The sequence below is a fragment of the Homo sapiens genome, chromosome 2 (assembly GCF_000001405.40).
Source record: "Homo sapiens chromosome 2, GRCh38.p14 Primary Assembly".
Lineage (NCBI taxonomy): Eukaryota > Metazoa > Chordata > Mammalia > Primates > Hominidae > Homo > Homo sapiens.
The window spans coordinates 3,839,573-3,849,265 of record NC_000002.12 but is presented as its reverse complement, the minus strand read 5'-3'; the positions used below and the strand labels follow the sequence as shown (position 1 = coordinate 3,849,265).

The following is a 9,693-nucleotide window of genomic DNA, read 5'->3' as shown; positions in this document are numbered from 1 at the left end:
TTTTTGTTAGTGAGCACGTGGTAGGCTGACCAGAGCAGGAATACATGCAACAGCATTCAAACCTGCTCCCCAGGCTGGCTCTTAGAAGACAAAAAGACTTTCCCATTTTAAGAATCTCTTTCCCACAAACATGCACCAATTTTAACTGTCCTATTAAAAGAGAAACAAAAGGGGATTGATACATTTTAAAGTTACAGAAACATTCCTAAAAGCCTTCCAGCATTTTCAAGTGCTTGAGATCTTAAGCCACTTGAGTGTGCTTAAAAAAGAAATTTCAACCTGTGTCGGGGCTGCGGCATTACTGCTGTGTCGGGGCTGCGGCGTCACTGCTGTGTCGGGGCTGCGGCATCACTGCTGGAGGTTTTGGGAACTAACACAGCAATCCTGAACAATCCCGACAAATGAAATTACTTTACGGGAGAAAAAAGCTCCCATTCAACTTTTTATAGAAGACTAGCTGGATTTAGAATATATGAACACAGGTTGTAAGCTATTGAAAGTCTTTAAAGATTTTGGAAATGGGTCCCCACAACACATAAAATCTGGCTATTTTCAAAAGTCCATATAAGTTTCAGAACAATCTAGAGTTAACACTTGGAGTTAAATAAAAATAAATTGTAAGGCAGATCAACTTTTAAAACACTTTTAAGCATCAGCAAAAATATAAGTTGCAACTATTGATCTTGCCGCCAATAGTTAAAACTATTGTAACAATAAATATAACAGTAAATATATTTAAGCTTTTAATATGACAATGTTCAGTGCCTTGGAGATGAAGACATTTAAGTTTCTATTGTGAATGTTTAAACTTGTTGATAGCACATAAATTTTTACCAAAACATAAAGGTAAACAATCCACACCATCTTTAAATATGACTAGAACACAAACAAAATAGAGAGCTAAAAGCTATATGTGTGTCTCAGCAAAACAATCTTCAAATTCCTAAGACAAACAGCAAATTGAAATCACACATAATTTGCTGAAAGGAAAATCTTTGCTAAAGACTGTTAAATCTCCCCAGACTGGTAGATTATATATGTGTGTGTGTCCCTGGGAGGGATATATATATATTAGGCCATGTGTACATACACACACACACACACACACACACACACACACACACACACATAATCTAATGAAGCCACATGGGTACTATTTTTTGCCTTCATAAAAATAAGTAAATAAGTTAATAAAATCCTTTTCCCAGCTGTATTAGTCTGTTCTCACACTGCTATAATGAACTACCTGAGACTGGGTAATTTATGAAGAAAAGAGGTTTAATTGGCTCACAGTTCTGCAGGCTGTATAGGAGGCATGGCTTGGGAGGCCTCAGGAAACTTACAATCATAGCAGAAGGGCGAAGGGGAAGCAAGAATCTTTTTCACATGGCAGAGCAGGAGAGAGAGAGTGAAGGGGGAAGTGCTACACACTTTTAAACAACTGGATCTCGGGAGCACTCACTCACTATCACGAGAACAGCAAGGGGGAAGACCACCCCCATGATTCAATCACCTCCCACCGGCCCCCTCCTCCAACACATGGGGATTACAATTCGACATGAGATTTGAGTGAGGACATACAGCCAAACCATGTCACCAGCGAACCCTGGATTTTTTTCCTTTTCACTTTGAACTAGTTATTCAGAAGGTAAAACATTTTTATACTTTGAACTTTACATAGCAAAGGTTATCAGTACCTGCTTTTGTGACAACCTCCAAGTTACATATAAATGAGATACCTTCCCGTACACATTCCAGGAAAAAAATATCATGAGGGGAAAATATACACACGTTTTTTCAAATTCTTCTCACTTTCTGAATGATCTTTTGGGGGCTTAATGATAAAGAACCACGTTTCATTCTTTAAAATGTTTACTAAAAAGAAATATCACTGAGAAAGGGAATAAGAAGAAATGGAGCTCAATTATGAAACCTCGTCTTTGGCTTTCGAGAAGACACCACTGTGTGGGGCTTTAGTTTCACCCCACATGTGATTTTCTTGCTGTTAAAATGTCCATATGTGACGTGGAAGCCCCATGGTTGAAGAAAAGTGGACTTCAGGTAATAATAAAGGTGGTTTTGTTAATCTACAGGTTTCCACTCCCGGGCCATCTGGAAGACATAGAAAAGCAGGTTAACAGAGAACATCTTCAAGCTGTGATCTGGCCACAGTTTGTTTCTGGTTCTCTCAGGAGCTTGCATTTCTGTTGGATTCTGGATTCTGGGTGTTGTTCCTGGGAGGGGTGGGGTGGGACCTGGGACCTGCAGCACACACAGCTCCTCACGGCACACCCAACGGCAACATGCCGCCGTGCAGAACCGCCGCAGGAAACCTGGACACTGATTTCAAAATTAGCTTTTGTGCAGTGCTGGTGGCCACTCCATTTCAGTTTATCTAAAACAACGCTTCACATTCCTCTGCCCCTTCCTTCATCTTCTCCCCCTTCTCACTCCACAGCCCCCATCCTGACCAACCAGCATTGAATGTGCTGAGTCTATAGCAATGTTTGAATCTGGATCATTTGGTTCAAACGTGGTGCTGAATAACTCTCTTGAAGAGCTATTTAAGCCATCCTCCTAGTACCAAGACCACTCTAAAACTAAGCCCCAAAATGTGAACATCATCTAGAGGCGACATTTTAAATTTTTTAAATTATGTATCCATTAAGTAAAATGAATCTCCTTTACCTCTAGTAAAATGTTCAGAGTGTTTAATTCCATTTGATTCATACAACAATTCTATACTAAGGAAGATAGAGTACTATAATAGACCTGAAATCAAATTTTATAAAAGAAGAAGCCTGGGCAACATAGTAAGACTCCCTCTCTCCAAAAAAAAGAAAAGTAGCCAGACGTGGTGGCTCATGCCTGTAGTCTCAGCTACACGGGAGGCTGAGGTGGGAGGATGCTTGAGACTGTCATTGTGGCACTGCACTCCAGCCTGAGCGACAGAGTGAGACCCTGTCACAAGAACAAGGAGGAGGAGGATGAAAAGGAGGAGAAGAAGGGAGTGGGGGAGGAAGAGTGGGGAGGAGAGAAGAAGAGGGAAGAACAGGAGGACGGGGGTGGGGAAGAAAGAAGAAGGAAGAAGATGACGAAGAAGAAGTAGGAGGAGGAGGAGGAAGAAGAGGACGAGGAGGGAAGGAGGGAGAAAGGAAGGAAGGAGGGAAAGAAAAACATGAGTTCCAGTCCCGTCCCTGCTCCCTCCAAGCTACAGGTCTCATGTGACTTCAGGCCAGCCACCTAACCCCTACAGGTACCTCACAGTAGAATGTCTGTTGGGAATTCTGTGATCTCTAAATTTGCTTCCAGCTCTAACAAACTATGATCCTACTATCATTCTCATTTTACAGAAGACAACTAATGTTCAGGGAGGAAAAGGAAATTGTTCAAGACCCTGTGGTCAACAAATGGTGGAGCACAGACCAGGGCCTGGTTCTCTTAGCCCTAATCCATTCCTTCCACAGCAGCTTGCTGGTCTAAATCACAGGCACTAGGGCAGCTGGAAAAGAAGTCACCAACGAAAGTAATTAGAAATGCAGTTTCAAAGTTCTTTTTCCTGCACTAAGACATATACTTAGAATGGAGCCAAATCAAAGTAGATGTGCTCTCTAGCAGAAACTTAACTAAAAATTGCTCAGGATGAGATGGCAATGGTTCCTATTTGATTACAAATGTCCCCCTTAAAGTGTTACGAGTGTTCTAGTCAAGTCTAACAACAAATCAAGAAGCCCAAATATGGTGAAATCATAGCTTTTCTTCCTCCTTCCATGTGCAACACTGTATATACCACTAATTGGCAGATGGTGTGAAACTGGTCTGATCTTTAAGAGGACTTGGACCATCCTAGAATCACCATTGCCATCTTTGTGCTAACCGTCAAGAAGCTCAGCCAACCTGGAGTCAAGTGCAGGCCTCATCTTAGTAGTGACTCTGCCTGTCTTCTCTCGCTTGGTAACAGAAACAAAAAGACAACTACCCAAATGGAGTAACTGGAGTCGCCAACATTTCTTAGTGCCTTTTGTGTGTCCAGCACGGTTCTGCTTATGGTAAGTAATTTTCCCAACAGCCTGTGAGTTCGTTATTATTATTAGCTCTAAACTGAGCCACAGACCTCGTGCATACCCTTAAAGAGGAGAGAAGCCAAAACTGTATATTGAGTTGAGAGTCCATTCGCTTAGCCACCAAAAATGTACATAGGATTCTACTGTCCATTTAGGACATAGAAGGCATATATATACCTATATCGGCAAATGCATGTACATAGATGCGTGTGTTGTGTATAGATAAAAATAGGTATGTATAATTATTATAATATGCCTTAATTCGCTTTTAAAAAGGGAGAACATGTTAGAGATAACTATGTAAACATGTGCCGTTCGCAAAGTGGCTAAGTCACTCTAGAATGCCAAGTGTGGGTTGACAGTGTAAGAAGGGAAGGTCGGCCCCAGCGGGCAATGATTCACCCAGTCTCGCTAACAACCCTCTTCCCTCCCAGACTTGCACAGTTAGGGAATAGAGGAAGGAATTCCACATGAATTTCGGCTTACAACATGTGTTTAAAAACTTAAAGTCTTGCCACCAAAATATGAAATTCATGATTTTAATATTCCACCAGCATACCTCTTTAGTATAATGTGAAAAAATGTCCGCTTTTATTTTCATTTGTCTTGCTATCCTTTCTAGTTTTTGACTGTTTCTTCACAACATGGTTCACATTTTGTTCTCATGGTGTTTGTTGTTTTGTTACCCCTTAATCATGTGTTTCTGAGACGGTTGTGCCAGGCATGGCTACATGGGCAACTCTGGCGTCTCAGGTGGCTGCTCTTGGCATGACTGTCCTGAGGACGGCTGCGTGGGGGACTCCGGCATCTCAGGTGGCTGCTCTCGGTGTGGCTGTCCTGAGGACAGCTGTGTGGGGGACTCCGGCGTCTCAGGTGGCCGCTCTGGGTGTGGCTGTCCCAGGCATGGCTGCGTGGGGGACTCTGGCATCTCAGGTGGCTGCTCTCAGTGTGGCTGTCCCAGGCATGGCTGCTCAGAGGACTCTTGTTCCTCAGGTGTTTATTCTTCTTGTCTTAGTGATGATTTTTCTTGTGATTGTCCCATCGGTGGTTCTCTGTGGGCTTCTATTTCTACTGGGGTTTCTAGTAGTACAGGTGTATTTTCTTCCTCTAGAATGTCATATGATTCTTTTTCTTGTTTTCAGTAAATAAAATAAAACAAAATCACCAATAAATCTAGTAGCCACCTAAGTCAACTGAAATAAATCATAAAAAGACAAACATTGCTGCTATATCATTGACTTAGTAGTGACAGTGATAATACTAACAAAAATACTTTTCACATAGGGTATTACAAGTGCAATGTGTTTTTGCATGCATTATCTCAAACAAGCATAAAATATGATGAGGTACCATCAGAGAAGCTAGAATCAAAGGTGTGTTACCAAATGCTAATTACACAGACACATTCCATTAGTCATTTAAAAATTGAAAAGTCACAGGGAAGATTCTTGCTCTTTCTGAGTTAGTGAAACAGAAAAGGCATTTTTAGTAAAATGAAAAAGAAAGAAATCAGAGTGCAGGAGAATCCAGAGGCCATGCCCTTCACAGTAGACCCCAACACATTAGAACCAACTTTCGGAGCTCAGGAAGAATACCCCATAGCAATCAACCTTTCACCGGCCAAACTACATTTCCTGATGCTAACATTACCTTTCCTATGGGGATGAATGCCATTTGGCAGAGGAAATTAAAAAGATGCTCCTGAAAACTGAAAACAAAACCATTTGAAATAACACTTGAAAAGAGGTCTTCAGCGAGAAGCCTTGCAGAGCCTGAGAGGGGCCAGGTCGCTCAGCTGACGTGGAGAACTCGGCACATTCACACACTGCCTTCCCCAAAACCTGCTCATCCCCTTGTTTTCAGAAGTAACGCGTAGACCCAAACCAGAAACCTCAACTCCAATTTCATTCTCGCCACCCATATCCACTTTGTGGCCCAGCGCGGTCCATTTTGTCCACTCCCAGGAATCTGTCACTTCCTGTCTGGGTCCCTGGGTCCCACCCCTGCCTGGGTCCAGGACTCCACACCTGAAAGAGAGAATACGATGCACACACATAATACTCTCATCCCTTTCCCTTCTCCCCCTGCTATCACAGCCACTTCTTAGAAACATAAATTTGATCACATCATCTCCCTGCTTTAGCATTACCTACAGGATAAAGACCAAAATCCTTACATTGACAGACGAGGGCATGGCGACAATGGCCAGGTGACCACCAAAGATGTGGACCTGCCCGAGACTGTGTTACCAGACAGAGAACAGCTAAACGGGGCCAGGCAACTAGTTCAGACCAAAGGGATGTGAAACGTGATGTGTCCCTTCTGGGCTGAGATGGCTGGGTATCTAATGTGGCTTCCTGTGTCTTTCCTTCTCCTCCTGTTGCAAACTCAGAGACCATGTGTTGAGGACAGCAGCATGACAAAATCAAGGATCCCTGAGTCACCGTGTGGAGGAGAGCCACCCAGGAAAGCCTCCAATCCACAGTAGGCTGCTGTGATCAAGAAATAAGGATTTATTGTGTAAAGCCACTGAGATTTGGAATTGATTTTTTTTTTTTTTTTTTACTGCAAATTAGCCTTGCTTCTTCTCACTGATGGACCTTAAAAGCTGAACCTTGTCTGTATCTCCATCTTCCTCACATACTATTCCTTCCTCAGGCACATTCACTTTTTGCTCCAACTGCCCCAAACTAGTTGCACTCCCCCAATGCACCCTCACTCTTCCATGCACTTGACTAAGCTGACCCCTCTGCCCACCACCCCCTTCCTCACCCTGTCAAGTTGGCAAATTCCTACAAGCCCTTCCCAATTCATTTTCGCAGTCCTCTCCTTTATAACACGTTCTATAAATTGCTGCAGCCTCCCTCCCAGGCCCAGACAGTCAATCGTTGTCTCTGTGGTATATTTCCAGGGTATCCAGTACACACCTCTATTTTAACACTTATCTCTCTTACGAGACTTTCTTGTCCATAGATCTGTGCCCAAACCCCAATTCACATGAGCTTCTTGAGAAAAACAAAACTGAGTCTCATTCCAATGGATTCCCTCCACATTCCGGACAGCACTTGGCCCAAGGTCAGCAGTTCCATATTGTCTATTTTTAAAAAATGATTAATAGCACATGAGTCCTGCTGCCTCCGTCCACTTGCAGATTCATCTTGAACAAGGCACCTTCCCTTCTGGGTTTCAAACTCTCTTTGAAAATAGGGGTAAAAATATGGATCTTTAGGAACTGTAGGATTAAGATGACATGACAATGAAAGCACATTTTGAATGGAAAAAATGGACACATACATGATATGATACTCATCATCACATAAAAGCTTAAACAGAAAAAAAAAGCGGGGGTTATAGAAGAAAATACAAAGACTGTCACACAGTGATGTATGACTATGTGCCAAGCAAAAGGCAGGGGTTGAGTGCTCTGAGGGCGAAGCGACTCTCTGCTAATCCCACAGGAAGACCTGCCCGGCCGCTCACGCCGCGTGCTAACTTAGCGCCCTCCTGCACCTGGGCATGATTCTCTGCATCAAGTCTGTCTCCCCGACTAGAGGGCAGGGATTGCGTTTACTCATCTTTGTTTCTGAAGTGCCCAGCTCAGCCTGGCACATGAAAGAAACTCAGAAAACGTTTGATAAATAAAAGAATAAAAAATAAATAATGAATGAACCAGCAGTCTGCTAGTCCCACACATAAGCACTCCCAAAAACACATAAAATTAGAATGTGCAGAATTAAAAAGATTTAGGATATCAAAATGTATGTATATGAATATTAATATATTATGTAATATAAAATAATATAAAATATTAATATAAAATAATATTTGTGCTGTTTAAAATGCATTTTCAAAAACTTCTGCGTTCACCTTGCCTTTTAAATCCAATCATCTACGAGACGTTCCTTGCCGTGCGTCTGTGTGCTCTGTTGGTTTTCTTTCAGAACTCAACCTGCAACCCACCAGGCACCTGAGTGTGGCTGAAAATGTCTCCCCTAAGGATACTCATGTGTGTCTAAAGCCTCCCGTCTGAAACTCGTACTTCTTATCACAAGTTTCACGAGCTTTTCTTTACAAAATATTATAAGAATAAATGCAGTGAAAGATTAAAATAATTGAACAATGGAAAATCTGCCAAAACCGCATTGTTGACTGAGAGATTGTGCCACCGTACGGTACGCCAAAATCTTCATTTGTCAGCTGACCTGGAACCTGCCATATGCAAGACAGTTTAGAAGGCTCCATGCATAGTCATGAGAGCATGGTTTACTCAAAGTCCACATGAGCACATGGGGAAGGCTGCCTGTCAGTGGGAAGCTTGGTGACACCCCTACTAGGTAGTGAATCACGGGGCCTCGCGGCGGACACTTTCACTGCGAAACTCGCAGAGCGGCCACCCGCACCGTGCCCTACATCACACAGAGGTCTCCGTGAGTGAGCACTGGTCATAGGTTCTCTTACCAGGAAACAGAACCACTTTTTTACTCTTGCTGAGGTTCTTGAGAGATACCAGAAACAAAGAAACAAACAAAAATCCAGACATTAGTAAGCTGACCAAAATGTGTAAAACCATGGTATTTTAATGTAAGATGTATGGATAAAAGAATTACTGGAAAGTAACCATTTTGACTAGTTTAGAGAGCATTTAGGGCCGATTTCAGTAAAAAATACAACTATGCTTTTATTACGCAGAAAGCCATGCCAACATTATGCAAATTGTACCTTCTGAAATTACAGGGCACTGGCAGAATTTTTATCTTATTTTTCTTCCCCCAACCCCCGCCGAAAAGCATATTTTACTTGAATTAGGTTTTCTTTCCCTTCTTCCTCATAGGAGTTCACAGCGGGCAGCGAGCTGCATGCAGTGGCATTTCCTCTGCTCTATATGAGATTTAGGAGGTGACAGGGTCTTTCCAGGTGACCAGTAAAATGCAGGTGCTGGGTGTTCTCTGCAAAACAACCAGCAAATGTAAACCAGCTCGGCTTACACAGCAGCTGCTTTGTAAAATCTCAATAGTAAATAGCAGTAAAAGTAGAATACTCAGTCTAAAATGAAAAATACCAAAACTAAAAATGTACACTTACATCAACACTCGCAAGATAAAACACACAAATCCACACGAATATAATATAAATAAATGCAATAAAACTTTTCCACAGATCTGCCCCATTGAACATCTTCTCCGACAATTCTGCCTTGATTTCAGGTATTGCGAAGTCCACGGGCTTCTCTGCCAATTCAGCAACTTAGCAGGAAAAGATTTGTTCTAGTCTAGATATATGCCCATAAGTGTATCTGTGTGTCAAAGTTTCTATCGGCATAATTAACATAGATATCTTCTGCTAATAAGCACTTCAGTTAACTGAACTCAGTAGCCAAATAATGAGACTGAGGCTGTTCTGCAGCCCTGACATTTTGGCGAGTGAGATGAAAAAGACGTGTGGGAGCAGATGCGGGAGCTGACAGCCAGGGAAGGAGGAATTCGAGAAGCCGTCAGAAGAGCTGGTTGGAGAGATTAAACTGCCAACAGCAGCAGCTGAGGAAATCTGAAAATTGGAGCAGAGGGAAAAACGAACAAGAATGAAGAGTTTCAAGAGCAGGCTGGTTTTGATTACAATCGTGTGAGGTCAG

At 42.4% G+C, this 9,693-nt stretch overlaps 1 protein-coding gene across 6 annotated transcripts in view; it reads right to left on the bottom strand.

Annotated features, from left to right (window-relative positions):
* Nucleotides 1-1,257: 1,257 nt before the first annotated feature.
* DCDC2C (doublecortin domain containing 2C) overlaps nucleotides 1,258-9,693 on the bottom strand; it is a 144,434-nt gene continuing 135,998 nt past the window's right edge. For 2 of the 6 annotated variants that reach the window (NM_001287444.2, NM_001365580.2), the window contains one exon: nucleotides 1,258-2,112. In NM_001287444.2, coding sequence (NP_001274373.1) covers nucleotides 2,083-2,112 — 30 coding nt within the window. In that variant the 3' untranslated portion in view covers nucleotides 1,258-2,082. Of the gene's footprint in view, nucleotides 2,113-4,589; nucleotides 5,258-7,897; nucleotides 9,011-9,693 lie in introns of those variants that run through there. The other 4 variants (XM_006711894.5, XM_047445726.1, XM_047445725.1 and 1 more) reach the window with 3 other exon arrangements.